At 53.5% G+C, this 22027-nt stretch overlaps 3 protein-coding genes across 27 annotated transcripts, besides 7 other annotated features; 1 reads left to right on the plus strand and 2 right to left on the minus strand.

The window, feature by feature from the left end:
* Nucleotides 789-1268: a silencer, noted in NCBI's record as "silent region_20824". NCBI's record gives its function as "represses an Ori minimal core promoter by ATAC-STARR-seq in GM12878 lymphoblastoid cells {active_cell/tissue: GM12878}" and the evidence as "EXISTENCE:reporter gene assay evidence [ECO:0000049][PMID:35858748]".
* TIMM17B (translocase of inner mitochondrial membrane 17B) lies at nt 3072-7768 on the minus strand. Of its 4 annotated transcripts, NM_001167947.2 has the most exons (8): nt 7692-7768; nt 7349-7446; nt 6384-6483; nt 4977-5126; nt 4663-4726; nt 3722-3850; nt 3525-3635; nt 3072-3442 (listed from the first exon to the last, which is right to left on the minus strand). In NM_001167947.2, exons 2-8 carry the CDS (start codon nt 7372-7374, stop codon nt 3354-3356), a joined length of 669 nt encoding a protein of 222 aa, NP_001161419.1. In that variant the 5' UTR covers nt 7375-7446; nt 7692-7768; the 3' UTR covers nt 3072-3353. The 4 variants fall into 4 exon arrangements, with proteins under 4 accessions (NP_001161419.1, NP_005825.1, NP_001382426.1 ...); NM_005834.5 differs by lacking the exon at nt 4977-5126 and having other exon boundaries at nt 3074-3442; NM_001395497.1 differs by lacking the exon at nt 7692-7768 and having other exon boundaries at nt 3074-3442; nt 7349-7393.
* Nucleotides 6909-7058: an enhancer, noted in NCBI's record as "active region_29614". NCBI's record gives its function as "activates an Ori minimal core promoter by ATAC-STARR-seq in GM12878 lymphoblastoid cells {active_cell/tissue: GM12878}" and the evidence as "EXISTENCE:reporter gene assay evidence [ECO:0000049][PMID:35858748]".
* Nucleotides 7089-7288: an enhancer, noted in NCBI's record as "active region_29615". NCBI's record gives its function as "activates an Ori minimal core promoter by ATAC-STARR-seq in GM12878 lymphoblastoid cells {active_cell/tissue: GM12878}" and the evidence as "EXISTENCE:reporter gene assay evidence [ECO:0000049][PMID:35858748]".
* Nucleotides 7555-12768, plus strand: PQBP1 (polyglutamine binding protein 1). 15 transcript variants are annotated; one of them, NM_001032383.2, is made up of 7 exons: nt 7555-7718; nt 8117-8201; nt 10815-10926; nt 11555-11667; nt 11858-12142; nt 12357-12420; nt 12553-12768. In NM_001032383.2, exons 2-7 carry the CDS (start codon nt 8135-8137, stop codon nt 12707-12709), a joined length of 798 nt encoding a protein of 265 aa, NP_001027555.1. In that variant the 5' UTR covers nt 7555-7718; nt 8117-8134; the 3' UTR covers nt 12710-12768. The 15 variants fall into 15 exon arrangements, with proteins under 15 accessions (NP_001027555.1, XP_016884696.1, NP_001027554.1 ...); XM_017029207.2 differs by having other exon boundaries at nt 12360-12420; NM_001032382.2 differs by having other exon boundaries at nt 7555-7707.
* Nucleotides 7579-7948: an enhancer, noted in NCBI's record as "active region_29616". NCBI's record gives its function as "activates an Ori minimal core promoter by ATAC-STARR-seq in GM12878 lymphoblastoid cells {active_cell/tissue: GM12878}" and the evidence as "EXISTENCE:reporter gene assay evidence [ECO:0000049][PMID:35858748]".
* Nucleotides 7999-8218: an enhancer, noted in NCBI's record as "active region_29617". NCBI's record gives its function as "activates an Ori minimal core promoter by ATAC-STARR-seq in GM12878 lymphoblastoid cells {active_cell/tissue: GM12878}" and the evidence as "EXISTENCE:reporter gene assay evidence [ECO:0000049][PMID:35858748]".
* SLC35A2 (solute carrier family 35 member A2) lies at nt 12808-21583 on the minus strand. 8 transcript variants are annotated; one of them, NM_001282647.2, is made up of 5 exons: nt 21171-21271; nt 19439-19621; nt 16017-16168; nt 14371-14517; nt 12808-13090 (listed from the first exon to the last, which is right to left on the minus strand). In NM_001282647.2, the coding sequence occupies exons 1-5, from the start codon at nt 21259-21261 to the stop codon at nt 12989-12991; spliced, it is 675 nt and encodes a 224-aa protein (NP_001269576.1). In that variant the 5' UTR covers nt 21262-21271; the 3' UTR covers nt 12808-12988. The 8 variants fall into 8 exon arrangements, with proteins under 8 accessions (NP_001269576.1, NP_005651.1, NP_001269580.1 ...); NM_005660.3 differs by having other exon boundaries at nt 14371-15107; NM_001282651.2 differs by adding an exon at nt 19859-19942 and having other exon boundaries at nt 12808-15107.
* Nucleotides 20465-20514: a silencer, noted in NCBI's record as "silent region_20825". NCBI's record gives its function as "represses an Ori minimal core promoter by ATAC-STARR-seq in GM12878 lymphoblastoid cells {active_cell/tissue: GM12878}" and the evidence as "EXISTENCE:reporter gene assay evidence [ECO:0000049][PMID:35858748]".
* Nucleotides 20875-20924: an enhancer, noted in NCBI's record as "active region_29618". NCBI's record gives its function as "activates an Ori minimal core promoter by ATAC-STARR-seq in GM12878 lymphoblastoid cells {active_cell/tissue: GM12878}" and the evidence as "EXISTENCE:reporter gene assay evidence [ECO:0000049][PMID:35858748]".

The raw sequence follows: 22027 nt of genomic DNA on the forward strand, positions 1-22027 counted from the left end.
TCCCACCCACCTCCTTAACCCCTCTTGCCCACAGACTATTTCCCTTCTCCCCATGCAGACAGGTGGGTGGCAAACTCAAGGGCCACCGGGGTCACACTGTGAAAGCACCAGCCAGGGAGACCAAAGCAAAAAAAATGAGGATGCGGAGCTGAGAGATCAAGACAGATAGAGGCAGAGACTAAGGGCTTAGGCAGGGAGGAAGCAGGAAGAAACAGGAGGAGGAACCTGAGACAGAGCCGCTGAAGTCCTTGCTGGAAGCAGATGGGATTAAATGAGCGACGAGACTGGGAGAGTGCCAGAGAGAGACACCAAGAGGATGCAGGTAAGGCATCTGTCCCCTGAGGCCCCGCAGCTAGGGTGTGGGTGGGCGGCAGCCGGAGGAGGCCCGGCCTGAAGCCAGCTCACAGCTCACCCGCTCCTCACTATGTCTCCTGTGTTTGCCTGCATCTGACGTGGTATTCCCCTCTACCTGCCTGCGTTTCTGACCCTCACGCAGCTTCTTCTATTTCTTAGCGTCTCTCCTCCTCTCTGTCTCTTTTCATTGATCTCTTGCGTGTCTCTCTGCCTCCATCTCTTTCCACCTCTCTGTCGGTCTCTACCTCCCTACGTGCATGTCTGTTTCTATTTCTCTCCCTCTCTTTATCTCTCCATCCCCCGTCTTCCCTTGGTCTCTGTAGTCTCTTCTCGTCGAAACAACCAAGGGTCTCACCCCGTATTTCCTTCTTATAGGAACAGAGGCCGCCGGCCCCGGGCCTAGGTCAGTCAGAGGGCGGGGCCTCAGGGCTCGCCCCAGCCGCGCGCCCCAGCTCGCGAGCCGCGGACGACCCAGGGCGCCCCAGCCCCAGCTCCGGGCCTGGTGAGCCTGGGTGATGCCGTTGACGCGAGGCCTCCACGGAGTCCCCCCTCCCCCGGCACCGTCCCCAGCCTCCCTGCAACTCTCACGCGAGGCCCCTAGCCTCGGTTTCCCAGCCCGCTCCCTCGCTTCTAAACGTGGTGCTGCTCCCGCCCCACTCCAGGTGACTCCGGCCCCCCAGCCCCGCCCCAGCCAGCGGCCGGAGGAGGCCCCGAACGTCGCCGCAAGCGGTCAAGCCACCCGGGCCGAGGGCACGCAGAAGGACCGCTCCTAGGCCCCGCGGGTGGGTCCGGCCGCCCGCAGCCTGGAGACTGCGCAGCTGGACCCGCGCGCGGGAGAGGGGCGGGGCCTGGCGGTGGGAGGAGGTGGGTCCAGAGGCTGCCGAGGGCGGGAGCCTGCGGGTCTCGGGGAGCGTGGAGAGGCGCAGCCTCGGAGGAGCCGGGTGGTTGTAGGAAGGAGGTGGGGCCCGCCGCGGGCTCAGGGGACGGTGTTGAGCGAAACGACCAGGGCGGGTCCGAGGGGCAGGGCCGGAGACCAAGGGAGCGTGGAGCCTCCAGGACTCTCGGAAGGGAAGGGCCTCCAGGAGCTACTCTCCAGGGGCGGCGCTAGATCCACGCAAGTGAAGGCCTGCAGGGGGCAGGGCCGGCCCAAAGATCCAGAAGGGGCGGGACTAAAGGAGGTATTGGCCCCAGGACACAAGGAACACCCTGGGTCTGACTGGCGCTCCGATCTCAAAGATGCATGCCTGGTGCTGCCGCCGCGGTACTTGTGGAGATGCGGGTTCGAGGCCTAAGCCCGGGCCCCGCGCTGCCCTCCCTGGTCCCTCAGTGGCGTGGCTGCGCCCTGCCCGGCATTGAGTCGCTCAAACAGGTATCACAGCTGTCACCGCTGAGGACTCTTTACATTCCCACGGACCAGTTTTGTAAGGGACTGGCTTGCAAGAAAGGGACGTTTTTCATGTCTCTCGAGGTATTCGCCACTGGAGCAGTTTGTGCAGAGGAAACCCTTAACTCCTCAGGAAGCTTTTGAGCCTCCCCGTGGCTTCTGCACCCCAGTGTAGGCAATGTTTGCCCCACCCAGGTAGAGCTTTTCGCAGAAGTCACAGCTTGGGGGCGGGGGTATGTCCACCCAGAAAAATCTCCTAGCTCCCCCATCCCAAAATGAAAACTCATTTCTGGTTATTTTGTGGTTACCCTTTAAAAACACTAGACCTGGCCGGGTGCGGTGGCTCACGCCTGTAATCCCAGCACTTTGGGAGGCCGAGGCGGGCAGATCACCTGAGGTCAGGAGTTTGAGACCAGCCTGGCCAACATGGTAAAACCCCGTCTCTACTGAAAATACAAAAATTGGCCGAGCGTGGTGGCTCACGCCTGTAATCCTAGCACTTTGAGAGGCCGAGGTGGGCGGATCACTTGAGATCAGGAGTTCGAAACCAGCCTGGCTAACATGGTGAAACCTCGTCTCTACTAAAAATACAAAAAGTTAGCTGGGTGTGGTGGTGGACGCCTGTAATCCCAACTACTCAGGAGGCTGAAGCAGGAGATCACTTGAACCCGGGAGGTGGAGGTTGCAGTGAGCCGAGATCACGCCACTGCACTCCAGCCTGGGTGACAGAGCAAGACTCCGTCTCAAAACAACAAATAAAAACACTTGACCACACTGAGCAGAGGAAAGCAGAAAAGCAGCTCTGTGACAGAAGGGGAGGCTGATCCAGGGCACCTTCTTTGAAGGAGCTAGGTCTCCTGGCCCCCTTCTTCCATCCCAGATCCACCCTGAGGCCACATGGAGGGAGGGGAATCACCTTCACAAATGCCGTGCTGAGTGTCCAGAAAGAAGGGACTCCTGTGAGGCCACATTTCCCAGCCTCGGTGACGGGGGCTTGTGGACCAGGAGTCAGGGATATTGGAGTGTGTGGGGGGGGATGGGGTCAGGGGTGCAACGTCCAGAACCACCCCCATCCCCAGCAATCCTGGTGTTCATTCACTTCTTTCCCAAGCTTGTTCCTCTGACAGCTAGGACCCATCACCAGGCCCCAGACAACCTTATTCATGTCCCTAATTCACATCTTCATTCTCCCTTCCTGCTCATCCATCCCATAGACATTTACTAGAGCCCACTTGCTGTGGGCCTCCAAGTCCTAGGGCTTCCAAGTCCCTGAAGCAGGCTCTGCCCCTCATCCTAAGGAGGGGCCCCATAGGCAGTTCAAGGAGTCCACACATAGGCATTTCAAAACGGGCTTTAAATACTCATCAGGGTGCCACACAAAGGAGCTGGGGTGAGAACTTCGTACATGTGAGTGTGGGGCTGGGGTGCCCTGAGAGAGAAAAAGGGGACCCATCTGTCAGGGCAGCTGGGGTGCCCCACCCCCACCCTGGGACTAGGGAGCAGAGTAGAAACCCTCTCTGGAGGGTCCCAGGGCTAACTGGGAGCCAGCCCTCCCTTCGAGGTAGACCATCGGGGAGGGAACCGAGAAGTAGCTCCCATGGTGGCAGTGGCTTCCTCAGTGGTACTGCTGATAGCTGGGGTAGCCTGGGGCCGGGGTGCCATCCTTAGGGGGCAGCTGGCTGGGGTCCTCCAGGAATGGGGGCGCTGGAGAAGGGAGACTTGGGTAAGGATGAGTGGAAGAGGCCAGGTGGAGTATTTCCCACTCCCCCGACCACCAGTTACTCACCATTTCGGAACTGCTGGGCTGTGTAGCGAGTGAGGAGGATGCCAACGCCCTCAATGAGGGCCAACAGGATGCCCCCCATCATTGCTGAGCCCACCATGGCCAGTGGGCCACCTGGGGGAGTTGGAGGCAGAGAAACAGAGGTGAGAGCAGGCAGAACAGGGTGGAAGGGGCTGGGGCCAGGGCCAGGGGTCACTCACTGCGGGCAGCCAGCACAGCCCCGGTCAATGCTCCACTGGTGATAGAGTTCCAGGGATCCTCCTTGCCCCGAAGCCGCACCAGGCCACAGTCGATGGTGGAGAACAGGCCCCCCCACACTGCGAAGCTACCTGTAGTGGAACCGAGGCCTAATTAGTTCCTGGGAAATCCTGAGAATTCACATCTCAGGGGACTTCCAAGGCCTGAATGCTTTGGCCAAGAACAGGGAGAAAAACCCAGACACAAAGGCAGATAGCAAACCCACACAGAGTATTTCCTATCTGTCCCCATCCTGTGGTAGCTCCCACTTCAAGCCGTCTATAATCACCATCAACATTCCCTTCATCTTTATGGGGAGTTGACAAATGTTTACAAGCAGATTTATCTTCATATGGCTTTTAACAGAGCAACTTTGAGCTTCATAATCACCACACAGAGTTGGAATTCTGATTTGGGTTTCAGTGAGAAGGAAATAGGTTAGGAAACCCAGTTAATATGATAGTTAAAATGTTTACTGAGGGCTTACTGTGTGCCAGGACCTGTTCGAGGTGCTCTGTTATTTAACTTCTGCAATTTTAAATTAGTTAATGTTATTAAAGTGTTTAGCATAGCAACCAGCACTTAGTAGTATGTAAATTACATAAACTATAAAACTACCGATGAAGTGGTTACTGTTATCACCACCCCCACGGTACAAGTGAGGTTCAGAGAGGTTAAGCCACTAGCCCAAGGTCACATGGCAGGGAACAGTCAGGACCTAGATTTAAACTCCAGAACCCACTTTCTTCCCCTCCATATTCAATTGTTGGGAAACATCACCCCCCTAGAAAGTCTCTGGCAGGGGCTAGAATCTGAACCCCTAACTTGCAGCCTAGACCCAAAGGATCAACCACTCCCACCTTTGCCAAGACATCTCCTATATCTATCTCCCCAAGTCCCTCACCTCCAATCTGGGGGGCTCGGATCCTCACAGCATTGGCACTACCTCTCAACCGGTGCCGAATTCCCTGGGGAAAGGAAGGAAGGGCGTTAGGGCAGGGCTGAAGCCACTGGCAGACACGTTTCCAACTTTTAAGAGAGGGAAGAAGATGGGAGACCTGTTAGAGGTATGAGCTGTAGAGATGTGGAGAAGTGGCCAAGAACTAGTGGCCTGGAGAGCGCCCCAACATGGGTGTTCTCAGAGCTAGGTTGAGAAGTGCTAATTCATTCATACATTTGTTCATTCATTCATTCAGTGAATGATTAACAAGTACCTACTATATGTGCCAAGCACCATGCCATATGCAGGGATACAGCCATGAACAAGGTAGGTCTGCTCTCTGCCCTCTCAGAGCTCACATTAACGGTGGGAGACACAGATCTTGAGCAAGAGTAGATAAACAAGGGAGCTTCAGACAGCAATCTGCACTGTAGAGGAAATGCCATGAAGAAATATGACTGGGGCTGAGGGGTCAGGAAAGGCCTCTTGAAGGAGGGGGAATCTGTGCTGAGACCTTGAGGATGACAAACTTGGGCAAAGATCCAGGGAGGAGAGTTCCAGGAGTCTAGGGGAGGGACGGGGCTACATATATAAATTGCAGAGACCTTGGCTAATAGATGGCATTTAAAGTCATGGCATTTGCGATCTTCTGGGAGGGGAGGTGGTCAGAGAAAAAGAATTATGTTAAAAGAATTCTCTCAACTTCAAGGCTGTCTTCCGTCTGCCAATTAAATTCCTGTCATTTTCCTCTATCCGGGTTTCTGAGCCAGAATCTGCCTCTAGGTAAAATGCGCAGTGGCTAACACCTGTAATCCCAGCACTTTGGGAGGCTGAGGTGGGTGGATCACTTGAGTTCAGGAATTAGAGACCAGCCTAAGCAACACGTTGAAACCCCGTCTCTACAAATAAATAAATACATACATAAATAATTAGCCGGGCATGGTGGCGCAGTCCTGTGGTCCCAGCTACTTGGGAGGCTGAGGTGGGAGGATCACTTGAGCCTGGGAGGCGGAGGCTGTAGTGACCCATGATCAGGCCACTGCACGCCAGCCTGGGCAACAGGGCAAGATGCTGTCTCAAAAAAAAAAAAAAAAAAAAAAACATGGCCAGGCACAGTGGCACACGCCTGTAATCCCAGCACTTTGGGAGGCCGAGGTAGGTGGATCACCTGAGGTCCAGAGTTCAAGGCCAGCCTGGCCAACATAGTGAAACCCCATTTCTACTAAAATTACAAAAATTCGTCAGGTCTGGTGGCACATGCCTGTAGTCCCAGCTACTTGGGAGGCTGAGACAGGAGAATTGCCTGAACCCAGGAGGCAGAGGTTGCAGTGAGCCAAGAGCGTGCCACTGCACTCTAGCCTGGGCAACAGAGCAAGACTGTCTCAAAAAAAAAAAAAACTGTCTGGCTTTGCACATACATTTAAAATTTGGTGATGACTCTTTGAACGACACAGCATTTCCACAGAGGAGCTCCAGTTGGGTGGGGTGGAGGGTGGAAGACAGAGGCCATGTTTGCAATCCCTACAAAATCCCAGATACAGGAGCCAGGCTCGGCACATAGTAGGTGAGTGGGCACCAGAATGAATAAGTGCACGTGACTGGCAGCTCCAAGCAGTTTTCAGAGCAGCCTCCCTTGTGGGCAAGATAGCTAACCCCACACCAACCCAGGGAAGGCCTGGACTCACAACAGGGGCATTGCGGAAACCCTTGATGGCCTGGAAGACTCCGCCACCGATGACACCCATAGTGAAGGCTCCACCGCAATCATCCACAATTCGCCATGGGCTGCAAGCAGGAAGGGAAGGACGGGGTTAATGTGAGCCCTCCCCCAGGTCCTGTCACACGAACTCTTTTCTAACTGGGAGAAACCAAGTCACCAGAATGGGAAGTTCCTAAGTAGGAACAAACACTTCAGATAATAATGAGCTAGTTCTGTCACGCTTTTTCCACACACCCCCCCATTAAAGCGAGAAATGGGGCAAAGGGGGAGAAATATTAGTCTTCGCCCTGTCTACCAACCAAGGAATCAGCCAACGGTTTTACTGTGATCAAAGATTAAATGAATTGGCACACGCAGAGTTGACGTTTCAATAAGCGACATAGGCGTGTTAACTAGCCAAGACAGACTGTCAGCAAAGCAGGACCGCGTCGCACCCCTTCTCCGACGGTGAGCCCGTCCAACCATGCCCCGCCCCTTTTCAATCCGGCACAACTGGGAAAAACCAAGAGCGACCGCGGGAAGCATCCACCGTCCCCGCCGGCCCTCAACAGGTTCATCCGTGCCCCGCCCCCCACTGACAAAGGCGACCTGGGAAAAACCACTGGCGGCAACTCTGGGGATTTCCGGTCAACACCGTACCACCCCTAGCCGGGATGGATCGTCCAGCGTGTCTTTTTTCGTTAACAGGGCTAGGAGATTACGAAGTCAGGAGAAACATGGCGTGGTTCGGCCTTCGCCGCACCTTCTCTGGTTGTGGCCCCTCATAACGGAGCCCGAATGACAGGAACCGAGTGGGGGTAGCGGGAGATACGTTAAGAGTCCCCCGAGTCTGGTACATGGCTCTGTGCGGCCGATGCCTCCCCCGCCCGACCCCCACGGCTGGCCTTGGCGTCGCAGCAATATTCCGGATGCCTGTGCCCATTGCCGTACCAGGGCTCCCGAGCGTACTCCTCCATGGCGCTGGCGTCTGGCCGCGCAGTCAGGCCACGCCCCCAGCGTAGACGCACACCGGCGTCGGAGCTTTCCGCCTATTACCGGGCAGCGATTGGGTCGCTATACCGCATGTCACGCCAAGGACGCACTCTCATTGGCCAATCGAGTTTCTGCCATTTGTTCATTGCCTCCTGAGCGTAGTCCAGTTACTTTCAGGCTCGGGGAGTGAAGGCCTCGTTGAGAGAAGGTCTCATTCGGTGTTTTGGGAAGAGAGTCGTGTGGGCCCAGGTATCGTAGCGGCGACACGAGAGAGACGGGCGGTGTGACAGCCTTCCACTACCTGCACGAGTGTATTGGTAACGTTGGGGTGGGTGCACTCTTTTGGAGCTGGAGGAAGTGCTGCCCTCTGCTCCCCCATCCCAGCGCTTTGGTTTCTCCCACCCGGCAGTCATGGGGACGCTGGATGAGCCCATTTCTGAAGTGCGGAGGGGCCGGGCTTCTTAGGCTGTGGGCGGAGCCTGGGCCTGGGAGAGGAACAGGGCCCTGGAGCACCTGGTTTCGGGGACAGTAGGGTTGGTGGGAGTTGCGATGATATTGCCACCTACCTCTTACATCTTTTAGTGCGTATGTTCTGTCCACCCAGCTACTGGTTCATTTGAGTAGATCGGAGTCAGATGAGTACATGTTTACGGGAGGCGCTTGGTTACGGGATCCAGATAGGAATCTTTATCTGAGCTGCTTGTCAGTTTGTTCGTCTGTCCCTAGGTCTGTCTGCTATCAGCTATGCCGCTGCCCGTTGCGCTGCAGACCCGCTTGGCCAAGAGAGGCATCCTCAAACATCTGGAGCCTGGTGAGACAGCTAAAAGCAGATGGTCCTAACACGTGCCAGCCTCGACAGGCACTTTTGTTGTTGATACTGACGCTTGATACCTAGCATGGGCCAACTGTGCACCAAGCAATGGGGTGGCAGGCATTTTTCGTTGTTAACAATGTGGATTCCTGACATCCATCCCTACCGCGTGTCAAGTGGAGGGGGTTGGGGGAATAGATATTTCATTCTTTTTTTTTTTTTTTTTTTTTTTTTTTTTTTTTTTTTTTGAGGCAGAGTCTTATTGTGCACCCAGGCTGGAGTGCAGTGGCGCGATCTCGGCTCACTAAAACCTCCGCCTTCCAGGTTCAAGCGATTCTCCTGCCTTAACTTCCCGAGTAGTTGGGACTACAGGCACGCCCCGCCCCACCACACCTGGCAATTTTTTTTTTTTTTTTTTTGAGACAGAGTCTCGGTCTGTCGCCCAGGCTGGAGTGCTGTGGCGTGATCTCGTCTCACTGCAACCTCCGCCTCCCGGGCTCAAGCGATTTTCCTGTCTCAGCCTCCCAAGTAGCTGGGATTACAGGCACGTGATACCACACCCGGCTGATTTTTGCATTTTTAGTAGAGACGGGTTTCACCATGTTGGCTAGGCTGGCCTCTAACTCCTGACCTCAGGTGATCCACCCCCCACCCTTGGCTTTCCAAAGGGTTGGGATTACAGGCATAAGCCACTGTGCCCGGCAGATATTTCATTCTTAACAATACTGACTGGCTGGGCGTGGCGGCTCAAGCTGGCATTCCCAGCACTTTAGGAGGCTGAGGCGGGTAGATTGCTTGAGTTTAGGGATTAAGAGATTAGCCTGAGCAACATGGCAAAACCCCGTCTTTACAAAAAATACAAAAATTAATCGTGTGTTGTGGTGCATGCCTGTAGTCCCAGCTACTTGGGAGGCTGAGGTGAGAGGATCTCTTGAGCCTAGGATGTCAAGGGTGCAGTGAGCCGAGATTGTGCCACTGCACTCCAGCCTGGCCGACACATGGAGACCCTGTCTGAAAAAAATCCAAAAAAAACAACAAAATAATACTGACCACCTAATGCCTATTTGGGGCCTACTGTATGCCAAGTTAAATCCCATGGATTACTCTATGGGGGTGATGACATAGTATCTAATAGGAAGTACTGCTAACCTCTACTGCTGTCTCCTGTGTGCCAAGCGTAGTTGCAGTGAGGATCTATCATTTAGGCCTACTGTGCTCTGGCTGCAAATCACACCTTATTATCAGTAATACTAAAAACTGGCATCTATTTGGGGCTATAGTGTGCCAGGCACTGGAAAATATATCTTCTCCTTATTGATAACTGACATCTATTACAAGCCTACTGTGTGCAAGGTATAGACCTTGTGGTTAATAAAATTGTCAATGATCCCAGGCCGGGCAGGGTGCCTCATGCCTGTAATCTCAGCGCTTTGGGAGGCGGAGGTGGACGGATCACGAGGTCAGGAGATCGAGACCATTCTGGCTAACAGGGTGAAACCCCATCTCTAATAAAAATACAAAAAACTTAGCCGGGCGTGGTGCCAGATGCCTGTAGTCCCAGCTACTCGGGAGGCTGAGGCAGGAGAATGGTGTGAACCCGGAAGGCGGAGCTTGCAGTGAGCCGAGATCATGCCACTGCACTCCAGCCTGGGCAACAGAGAAAGACTCCATCTCAAAAAAATAAAACTGGCAATGATCATTGATTTACTTTTTTTTTTTTTTTTTTTTTTTTTTTTTGAGAGAGTCTCGCTCTGTCACCTAGGCTGGAGTGCAGTGGTGCAGTCTTGGCCCACTGCAACCTCTGCCTCCCGGGTTCAAGCGATTCTCCTGCCTCAGCCTCCCGAGTAGCTAGGACCACAGGCGTGCTCCACTGTGCCTGGCTAATTTTTGTATTTTTTAGTAGAGATGGGGTTTCACCATGTTGGCCAGGCTGGATTTTCTTTTAAGCCTATTGAATGACCTGTGCCTATGGTATATATATTATTTATTATTTGTTTAGAGACAGGGTCTCACTCTGTTGCCCAGGCTGGAGTGCAGTGGCACGATAATAGCTCACTGCAAGCTCAAAGTCCTGGGCTCAAATGAGCCTCCTGCCTCAGCCTCCTGAGTAGTTGGGACTACAGACGTGTGCCACTGTGCCCAGCTAATTTTTTTTTTTTGTAGAGACAGGGGTCTCACTATGTTGACCAGGCTAGTCTCACAGACGGGTTTTCACCATCTTGGCCAGGCTGGTCTTGAACTCCTGACCTCGTGATCCACCCACTTTGGCCTCCTAAAGTGCTGGGATTACAGGCATGAGCCATCACGCCTGGCCAAGATGAGTAAATTTTTTGATGAATCCCTATCAACTCTGAAACCAGATAGCTTTGGCTAACAGTAGAACTCATCATCTGAACCCAGACACAGATTTAGGTAACCTTTTTTTGTAAACCTCCTAATATAGAGAGTTGGATTTGGAATGTGAAAGATACTTCATATTCTTCCCGGCACACACACACACGTGTCTTTTATGTGTGGCTTGTGTGAATGTGAGTGCGTGTCTCTAGGCTCTACATGTAGGATGAGGTCCCCTGGTCCTTATCTGCTCTCCTCATCCCCACCTTGTTCTACCAGAACCAGAGGAAGAGATCATTGCCGAGGACTATGACGATGATCCTGTGGACTACGAGGCCACCAGGTTGGAGGGCCTACCACCAAGCTGGTACAAGGTGTTCGACCCTTCCTGGTGAGCCTGGGTGAGGGGGAGCTAACTTCTGGCTTCACCCTTCCTGTGCTGACCTTGGTTGTGAGGTTTAGGGGGACACAAGGGAGGGAGCCTCGGGTGGAGGGTGTTGGCATTAGGTATCTGCAGGACTCAAGTTGCTGCCTGCTGGGGCCTGGCTCCTCTGGGGTTGGAAGACTGTCTTTTCTCTCTTTTTTGAAACGGAGTTTCACTCTTGTAGCCCGGGCTGGAGTGCAATGGTGTGATCTCGGCTTATGGCAACCTCCGCCTCGTGGGTTCAAGCGATTCTCCTGTCTCAGCCTCCCAGGTAGCTGGGATTACAGGTGCACACCACCACACCCAGCTAATTTTTGTATTTTTTGTAGAGATGGGGTTTCATCATATTGGTCAGGCTGGTCCCGAACTCCTGACCTCAGGTGATCCGCCTGCCTCGGCCTCCCAAAGTGCTGGGATTACAGGCATGAGCCACCACGCCCAGCTGACAGTGTTTTCTCTTCAGGAGAAGAGATTCTGGGGATCCTGCCTGTGGGGTCCTGACATGGGGCAGGTATAGGCAGAGACTGGGGAGACAAGAGTTGAGGATCCAAGGCAAGGACATCTGTGCTGACACTTCTTTCCTGCGGCCCCACAGCGGGCTCCCTTACTACTGGAATGCAGACACAGACCTTGTATCCTGGCTCTCCCCACATGACCCCAACTCCGTGGTTACCAAATCGGCCAAGAAGCTCAGAAGCAGTAATGCAGGTGAGTTGGCAGGTACAAGCGTGCCTTGAGTGATCTTAGCAGTTCTCACGGAGAGGCCAAGTAGAATGATAGTGGATCAGAGGGGCAGGTGAGACCAGGCGGGCCCAGCCTCAGGCAAGGGAGGTTGTTGAAGGCAGAGGCTGCTGGGTCCTGGGGTGGCAAGAGGTCACTTCAAGACTTGTGTCCCCAGATGCTGAAGAAAAGTTGGACCGGAGCCATGACAAGTCGGACAGGGGCCATGACAAGTCGGACCGCAGCCATGAGAAACTAGACAGGGGCCACGACAAGTCAGACCGGGGCCACGACAAGTCTGACAGGGATCGAGAGCGTGGCTATGACAAGGTAGACAGAGAGAGAGAGCGAGACAGGGAACGGGATCGGGACCGCGGGTATGACAAGGCAGACCGGGAAGAGGGCAAAGAACGGCGCCACCATCGCCGGGAGGAGCTGGCTCCCTATCCCAAGAGCAAGAAGGGTAAGCTGGGCAGAATGGGGCTCGGTGAGACCAACAAGGTGCAGGGTGCACTGCGTGAGGAAGCCTTCCCTCAAAAAGATGCCTGGACCTGGGGCTAGAGGAGGGTGCTGTGGTACATGGCAGCCAGGGGCTTCATTTCTTCTTGTGGGGTGGGGCTCAGTGATCAGGGGATCCTGGTGCCTCTATTGAAGACTTTGCCCTGCCACTTCCACAGCAGTAAGCCGAAAGGATGAAGAGTTAGACCCCATGGACCCTAGCTCATACTCAGACGCCCCCCGGTAAGTGACAACCCCTCTTGACTCAGTACGTGGACACCATCCTCCGGCCTCCTTCCTCCATTCCTCATTGGGACCAGGTGGGCTGTGTCCGCCACATCACCCATCCCCATCCCCTGACTCTTTCACCGGCAGGGGCACGTGGTCAACAGGACTCCCCAAGCGGAATGAGGCCAAGACTGGCGCTGACACCACAGCAGCTGGGCCCCTCTTCCAGCAGCGGCCGTATCCATCCCCAGGGGCTGTGCTCCGGGCCAATGCAGAGGCCTCCCGAACCAAGCAGCAGGATTGAAGCTTCGGCCTCCCTGGCCCTGGGTTAAAATAAAAGCTTTCTGGTGATCCTGCCCACCATACCTGAGTGCTTCCTTTGAGGCTGCCCAACCCAAGTCGGCAAGATACACAACACATTTTATTTGCAAAAACTCAGCTAAGAGATAGTGTGGAGCTGGCAGGGGCTGGGGGGCTGAGCTGAGGTGGGTCATGAGAGAGCTTAGTCATGTTGGCCCTGGGTGGGGCAGGGGTGGTGGGGACAGGGAGTCCAGTGTCTACCTCACTCTACCCCTAATACTGATCAGAGTTTGGTCCCAGCTGGGCCAAGGGCAAGAAGAGAGAACGAGGCCAGGCCAATGTCTTCAATCCCAGCGGCTAGGAACCCTTCACCTTGGTGAGCAACCTGTGGTGGGAATGGGGAGGAAAGAAAAACACAAAGCTGGGCTAGGCTGGCAGGCGGGTTTCCTGAGCAAGTGAGGGCGGCGGTGGTGAGGCTGGTAGTCCTGGGGTTAGTAATGGTGCCCACCTGGTCAGAAAGCTACACGTGGACTAAATAAATACAACATCTTTATTTGGCATTGGATATCCTGACATTTGTTCATTACAGTTCCTTAAAAAACAAACCAAAAAATCAGAACAAATTAATCAAAAATAAAGATCCAATGGCTCTATTTACATATAGCAAAGACAGCCCAGGCATCTTCCATGCACACACACACCCCGCCCCGATACAGTTAAGGGGTTAATAAGCTTTGGGGAGCGCAGGAGGCAGGTTCCACAGTTCATCAATCCCAAGACACCCCCATGAGGTAGGGGTGCCTCACACAGCCAGACGGATATCAAGAGTATGATTGGTAGCTTTTTCCTCTCCTAGACATCTCCAAAAATAAGCCTACATCTGGCAACTGACAGTGTCTTAAATACAATGAGATTCAGCCACTTCAAGGACCTCCATTTTTCCCACACCCTGGATCATTAATGATATGATTACACCACAAATCCCAAGTCCACTAAAAAAAACAAATGGCCCCTACCACACCTTCTGCCAGAAGGGCTGATGCAAAAATCTTAGCTCTTGTCCCTTTCTCCCTGGGGACTCACAAGAAGCCCATCTTCAAGGTATCAAGGAAGCTGGCCCAAGGCCACACAAAAGACGGAACTAGTAACATGATCCAGAGCGGTGGTAAGGGAGGAGAGAAGGCCTCAAACTATGGGCAACTGAACCCCACAGGTAGGCATCGGTCATTCCTGAAGAGCTGCGGGAGTTTTGTCCAGTGTGTCCTTATGGAGGTGGAGGGACTGCTGGGAGGGACTCTCCCAGACGAGAAACCTCCAGAAGAGGGCACAGGGTCGGGGAGGGAGCAGACAAAAAAAAGGCCTTGAATGACAATACCCCCAACCCTGCCTCCAAAGAGGTTAGAGGGAGCAGAGGCGGCAGCTCTAAAACCCCCTCCAGGGGAAGGGGGTCACCCTACCAGGAAGGGTTCACGTGACACCCAGCTCTAGTCCCACACCCCTCCAGAAGTCTCAGTGACCTGGGAGAAAAGACCATCTCCCAAACCCAGAGGAGCCAGGCCCCGGAGGGTGGCGACTTGGGTCCTGCAGATGCCCAACACCCTCCACCCCAGTCCCCCTCCCTTGTGTCCCCCCATTGCTGCCAGCCCTCACTTCACCAGCACTGACTTTGGCAGAAAGGGCTCCGTGATGAGGTCTCCACGGTGGGAAGACAGCTGCGGTGGTGGTGGCTGCCCGGGAGGCTGCTGGTGAACGCAGGGCCCGGAGGCGGAGGCAGAGGCAGAGGCTATGGCTTTGGCTGCACCTCGGGGAAGGCTGTAGAGGTAGACAGCACCAATGACGAGTCCAGCGCCAAGGGCAAATAATGGGTCCACGTGGAAGCCAAAGAGGCGAATGGAGGCAACAGTGGACAGCACAATGGACAGGGAGGTGGCAAAGCCCTTGAGGATATTGTCAGCGTACTTGACAACCACAGCCACCAGTAGCCCGCCGAAGGCCTGGTTGAGCACCACGCCCCAGACAGCAGGTGTGTACCCAAAAAAGAAACCACGGGTGGCCACGGCGGTACCCTCAGCCCACCAGAGCCCCACCAGGCCCAGTGCTGTGCCGAAGAGGCCCAGTTGCAGGTTGCGCAGCCACACGGAGCCTGAGCTGCCTTTGAGGATCTTCTCAAAGTAGACACCTGCGAAGCCGGAGGAGAGACAGGAGGCCACGACGGCTGCCAGGCCTGCCCCAGGGTTCTGATCCAGTGGCCGTGGGCCTCCCCCACCGGCTTGCTGTGCCTGGACAATGGCGACGCCAGTGAAGAGGAGCAGCAGGGAGGCCCACTGCAGCCGGGAAAGGCTGCGATTCAGCATGAGCACGGAGAACAGCGCTGTGGTCAGGATCTTCAGCTGGTATGTCACCTGCGAGTGGCACGTGGAAGGCACTGAGGGCTGACCCTGGCCCCCAACAGGTGCACATGGGGGGCAGCACCCACTGTGGGCCCCCAGGCACAATGGAGGGACAGGGTGGGGGGTATGACAGCAAAAACAGCAAAAGGAGCCAGCCACTGGCCATTGGCTGAGCTGCAGCAAAACAGTTCTGAAGTCTCTCCCAGCAAGTGCACAAAAGGATGGCTGTGCCAAGAAGTCCACATCCCAATCCCATTTCCTGGCTGTGTGACTGGGGACAAAGCACTTGCCCTGTCTGAGCCCTGGCATCATCATCTATAAAAGATGGCTGAGGTATGGAAGTATCTTTGTGATGAGGGACTTGATACAAATGAATCAATAGCCACAACAATGTCAGCAAATACTTACATAGTGCTTACAATATATCAGTGTGGTTCTAGGCACTGCACGTGAATTCATTCATTTAATTCTCACAACACCATTCTGAAGTGAGCACCACTGTAAGCCCCAATTTAAAGGTGAGAAAACTAAGGCACAGAGAGGTTAGGTGACGTGCCCCAAAATCACACAGCTGGAAGGTAGCAGAGCTGAGATTTGAACCCAGACAGCCTGGCCCCAGAATCCAGGCTCTTTAACCATTTCACAAAGCTGCCCACAAATAGCCTAAAGCTTATCTGTCACCAATCAAGGGCTCTTCACAGGTATTATTTCTTTTAAGTATCCTAGCATCTCAGTGAACAGGCATTACTATTTCCACCCCCAATTTTCACAGACGAGAAAAGGGAGGTTGAAGGAGTTCCAAGGACATTCTGAAGGTGACATAGCCCCTGTCCTCTGCAACACCCCCCCACCACGCTATTCCCATACTCCAGTCCCCAACCCAGTTAGTTCCTCTGGGGCCATGCTGGGCTTGGGGCTCACCTGGAAAGTGGCAGCTGGTAGGTTAGAGATGGCAACATACTGGAGGTTATTCTGCAAGGTGTAGATGAGAGAGGGCACTGCGAGCTTGAGCGTGTCCACATACTGCACCAGGACAGCCTCATGGAGGAAGAGAACCAGGTGCTTCACGTTACCTAGGTGGGAGGAGGAGAGCCCTTCTTAGCACTGACAGCCATACATGGGGAACCCCTGAAGGCTGGGAACAGGCCTTGCTCCTGTGACTCCCCCATCCACCCTGCTGTCCAATCCCTGGAGGCTGGAATGAAGTATGTGATCTTGGTTTTCCCTAGAGTACAACCATGTTTCCAGCAAGCTTTTCTGAGACTCAGTTTAATGGCAGCAAAAGAATCAGCCATCCGTGTCTGCTAATCACAGAGCATGTCACTCATGTTAGAGCCTACCTCCCTGGCAGAGAGCCCCATTCAGGGAAAGCACTCAATACTCAATATATTTGTGTACAATGAAATAACCAGCATTAGGCCAGGTGCCGTGGCTCACGCCTGTAATCCCAGCACTTTGGGAGGCCAAGGCAGGTGGCTCATGAGGTTAGGAGTTCAAGACCAGCTGGGCCAACAACACTGAAACCCTATCTCTACTAAAAATACAAAAATTAGCCAGGTGTGGTGGCAAGCGACTGTAATCCCAGCTACTTGGGAGGCTGAGGCAGGAGAATTGCTTGAACCTGGGAGGTGGAGGTTGCAGTGAGCTGAGACCATGCCATTGCACTCCAGCCTGGGCAACAGAGTGAGACTCCATCTCAAAAAAAAAAAAAAAGAAAGAAAGAAATAACCATCATTAACTTGGAGCTTATGAAATAGAAGCCCTAGGAGCTGGGGTGGAGGGCTGTCTCCCACACAGAAGAGTTTAGTCTAGACTTTTTTTTTTTTTGGCACAGTGGCGCGATCTCGGCTCACTGCAAGCTCCACCTCCCAGGTTCAAGCCATTCTCCTGCCTCAGCCTCCCAAGTAGCTTGGACTACAGGCGCGTGCCACCACTCCCAGCTAATTTTTTGTATCTTTAGTAGAGATGGGGCTTCACCGTGTTAGCCACGATGGTCTTGATCTCCTGACCTCGTGATCCGCCTACCTCGGCCTCCCAAAGTTCTGGGATTACAGGTGTAAGCCACCACACCAGGCATAGTCTAGACTTTTAGACTTATCCTAGCTCCTCACTGACCCATGTGCCGTCTGAGGGCAGGGGCCATCTCCCCCTTGTTGCATCTTTCTGTCAGCCCTAGACACAGAGTTGCCTCTGCCACATGGATGAATGCAGGCTTGACCATTAAGCAGAAGTCCGCTTGGGACCTGCTCCAGTGAAAACATGATAATCGGGCTGGGCGCAGTGGCTCACGCCTGTAATCCCAACACTTTGGGAGGTTAAGGTGGGTGGATCACCTGAGGTCAGGAGTTCGAGACCAGGCTGGCCAACGTGGTGAAACCCCGTCTCTACTAAAAATACAAAAATTAGCCGGGTGTGGTGGCAGGCGCCTATAATCCCAGCTACTCAGGAGGCTGAGGCAGGAGAATCTTTTGAACCCGGGAGGCGGAGGTTGCAGTGAGCCAAGATCGTGCCATTGCACTCCAGCTCAGACAACAAGGGCAAAACTCCATTTCAAAACAAACAAACAAAAAACATGAGAATCATTTCCTATGTAACAAGGCCTTTGCAAAGCTCGCCCCACTTTTTGGCAGTTCATCTTTTTTTTTGGCGGGGCGGGGTGGGTGGGTGAGGAGTCTTGCTCTGTCGCCCAGGCTGGAGTGCAGTGGTGTGATCTTGGCTCACTGCAACCTCTGCCTCCCGGGTTCAAGCAATTCTCCTGCCTCAGCCTCCCTAGTAGCTGGGATTACAGGCACCTGCCACCGCGCCTGGATAATTTTTGTATTTTTAGTAGAGACGGGGTTTCACCATCTTGGCCAGGCTGGTCTCTAACTCCTGACCTTGTGATCCACCTGCCTCTCGGCCTCCCAAAGTGCTGGGATTACAGACGTGAGCAACCACGCCCAGCCAGCAGTTCATCTTTTAAGTCACAGCTGGGTGTCACTCCACAGGCAAAACTTCTTCAAACACTGAACAAGGTTGTCCCAGGAACTCCTACTGATGTTCATTCACCAAACCCTGTGCACTCCTGGTCTCCAAACTCGAATTCAGGGGAAAAAAATTCCGGGCAGGGGAGAGAGGGGTGCTGAAATTGTGGCTAAGAGATGAAGGCCTGTGATTAAGTCTGTGGCTATCTGTTATTTCCATCTTCCATCAGCAATGAGGACAAGCTGCTCCTCTGCATTGCTAACCCATCTACCCCCACGGCCTGAGGCAGTGTTCACACCTACACTGTTCACAGAGTTAACAAAGGTAAGAGCAGGTCTCTTGTTAACCTGGAGTTAACAGGTGGGTGAGAATATTCTCTTCAATGTAAACAAAGGGCAAAGGTGCATAATTCATCTCCATCCCTTTACTTATGCAAGACCTTTTTAGAGAAACAATTGGGCAACACTTCAAAGTAGAAGGCCTTCAGGGAGATGTTGAAATTAGCAGATAAACCCAACTTCCAATTTACAAGAGATGTAGAAGACAGAATACTTGTTAAATTTTTGAGAATATTTGCCTTAGGGAGGCAGTCAGCAAAATCCAGACTACCCAAAGTCTACAAAACAAATGACCTGTTTTCTCCAACAAATTAATTGCAAAGACCAAAAAACCCCTAGAGATTAACAGATTTAGAAGATACCAAACAAGGCCAGCCTGGTGGCTCACGCCTGTAATCCCAGCACTTTGGGAGGCTGAGGTGGGCGGATCACGAGGTCAGGAGTTCGAGACCATCCTGGCTAACATGGTGAAACCCCTTCTCTACTAAAAATACAAAAAAATTAGCTGGGCGTGGTGGCACGTGCCTGTAATCCCAGCTACATTTATTCAAGATAATTCAGGGGAATTTACTTCCATACAATATTACTTCGTGTGGGATTTACTTAAAAATAATAAGAGGATAAGGACGTAGGTAGACATATAGATTGGCAGTGAGTGAACAATCACTGATGTTGTTTAAAGCGGCCATGAGTTGCTAATTGCTGACTCTGGGGGATGGGTACATGGATATTTTACTATTTGATTATTCTCTCTGATTTTGCATGTATTCGGAATTCTCCATAATATGAAGCTAAATCACATGTGAGAGATCCCTGCTACTTTATAAGCATTGGCAATCTCACTCCTACAGCCCACACAGGCCGGCTACCCGGCTGTTAGGGCTAGAAAAGTGTAAGATGCCGCTACGCATAGCTGGAGTGGCGCTCCAGGCAGGTTGAGATTTGGAGACACTCCTGAAGCAAACCATCTGTGTGAACACACACACATACATGTGGAGTCTCACCCACCGACCCCAGTGCAGCCCCATCCCTGGTTCGTACCCCTCTTCTGTGCGAAGAGCAGCAGCAGGCAGGTGAGACCTTTGAGCACTTCCGCCATGACCACAGCAGTGGTGGCAAAGAAGCGGTCCCCTGGCAACGTGCGGGCGTAGCGGATGCTGAGGATGAGGGAGGCATTCTGGACCACCAGCACAGCTAGGGATATGTACTTCAGGCGCCTGTGAGCTGTGGGGAACGGAAGGGGCAAGGGGGAAGGACGGGGTCAGAAGCCGCTGGGGCATAGCCACACCACCACCCACCCCCTTTCTTTCTCACCCAGGACCCTCCTAGCCATGGCTACTTGCTCCCTCAGCCTGCCTGCCCTCACCCAATAAGGGTCTGACTCCTACCGGCTTACTGCCTCAGCCATGAGCAGGAAGAGCCAGAAGGGAGAAATGGGCCCCACCCTGTCCCAGTCCATACCTGGAATCCTTACTGAGGTGTCAGGTAATGGCTGAGGCAAACCCTGGCCACGCGCCTCGGCTTCCTCCCAAGTGAGAAGCAACTCTTCCCCAGAAAGAATACCGACAACTACATTCTCCACGTTTATTGAGTGTTTACTGTATGCCTATCACTGGGTTAAGGGATTTCTATGGATTACCTCAATAGACTCATATCACTGTCATCTCCAAAAGAACTGCGAGGATTCCCATTTATGGATTAGCAAACTGAGAATTTATATGAAATGATGCTCCTGTTTAATGAGGGACTGTCTCATGTAAAGAATAACACATCAATGCAGGGAATGAGGCCACTGTATGAGGTATGTTCACCCCCTAAGAACGGTCTTTCTCCTATCTAAGAAATGATTCGATTCCCTCACACTGAGAATGGCCTACATCCCATATGGAATGATCCTCCTCATACCCAGAATGGTCTCTCCAACCCCTCACTCCTGTGACAACTGGTTCCTCTCGAACCAGAATAGTCTACTAAATACAAGAAATGATTCCCACATGCTCCCAGGGACTGAATCCTGTATCAGGAATGGTTATCCCACCAAGAAAGGTCTGGCTCCCTCAACCAGATGAGGAAATACTTCCCTGCACTCCACATGGTCTGCCCTCCCACCACCGCACACGGACCCTCTAGCTAATGAATTTTTCCTTGCTCTACCCACACTCACAATGAGCTCTCTCTGCTATAAGGAAGGACCCGGCACTCTCAGAACGTTCTTTCTCCACCATATAACGATGAGCCCTCCCACCCGAATGTACAATGAACTCTACCTCCATTAGGAGGGAGCCCCCAGAACGGTCTCCTCCGCACATAATGAAAGACACCCCCATCCTCAAAATGGACCCTCTCTAGTCACATAAAGAAGGACTCGCCCCACCCTAACTCACAATAGTCTCTGTCCCTTTATAAGGAAGGAACCACCACCCTCAGAATAGTCTCCCCCTTCTTCAGTGAGGAACTCCCACACCCGCAGAATGGTCTCTTCCACACGGAAGGACTCCACATATTCAGAATGGTTTCGGTGGCCTTAGCCTTCCCAAAAAGAATTACCCACCACACTCACAATGGTCTCTACTCTCCATATGCGGAAGGATCCCACAATCACTCTCAGAATGTTCTCTTCCCCGCCCCCAACACACTGACAATGTGCACACACACACACACACACACGTCGGTCCACACGGGATGCTCCCTCTCACTTTAGTGAGGAACATTCCCGACTCCCAGCGATCCCGACCTCCGCCTCCCATGCGACTGCTCGGGCAGACTGTCTCACCCGCACTGGCGGTCCCCGGCTCCAATGCACCCGCGGAAACCGCCCCTGGCCCGGGCGCCGCGGTGGAACCACCAGCCCCAACCGCTGCCATGTTGGCATCTGCCCGGCCCGTCCCCTCGGCAACAGAAAAACCACTTCCGCGTTCGTCACTTCCGCTGCCGGGCCACCTGAGTGAAGGTGGAGCGAGAGCCGGGATCGTCAGGGTGGTGGCTTTTCTCCTCCGCTCCTAAAAGCTCAATGTATGAATAGCCCCGGGATTTCCAAATTCCGTCGGATCGGGAGGCCGGGGACACGGCCCGATCGGCCTACCCACCATCCCTACAGAGCTTCATCGGCCCATTCCTGTCACTAGACCCGCCTTATCCTGCCGTTCGTCCGCTTCACTGATCGCGCTTTCCAGATCATCCCCCGATCTTGTCTCCTAGACTCATTGGTTCAGCCACCCCTTTCATCTCGGCTCTTTATTGGCAGCTTCTCCATAAGGCGCCGCCCTTTCCGTATCAGAAACTACCAGGTGCTTCATGGTTGGACTGAAATTCCGCTTTCCCGTCTTCCAGAGAGGCCTCGCCCCCTGGAGAGCACACGGGAATCTGGGGACGAAGAAACTTTGACCTGGCGGGGTCGGGGTGAGGGCGTACTGGCATCAGGTGCGAGTCAGGAATGTTAAGCTAGCAGATAAAAGCAGAGCAGGTGAGGATAAACAAGTGAAAATGCAAAGGAAAGTTGACGCACATAAGGGAAGACAAGTGAGTCACCACTGAGGATGGCAAAGGGGACAGGCGAAAGGCTCACAGGTTAGCTAGCATTTGGAAGCAGGGCAAGAGTCCGGGCCAGAGGCGGTGGCTCACGCCTGTAAT

This window comes from Homo sapiens, chromosome X, assembly GCF_000001405.40.
Source record: "Homo sapiens chromosome X, GRCh38.p14 Primary Assembly".
In the NCBI taxonomy this organism is placed as follows: domain Eukaryota; kingdom Metazoa; phylum Chordata; class Mammalia; order Primates; family Hominidae; genus Homo; species Homo sapiens.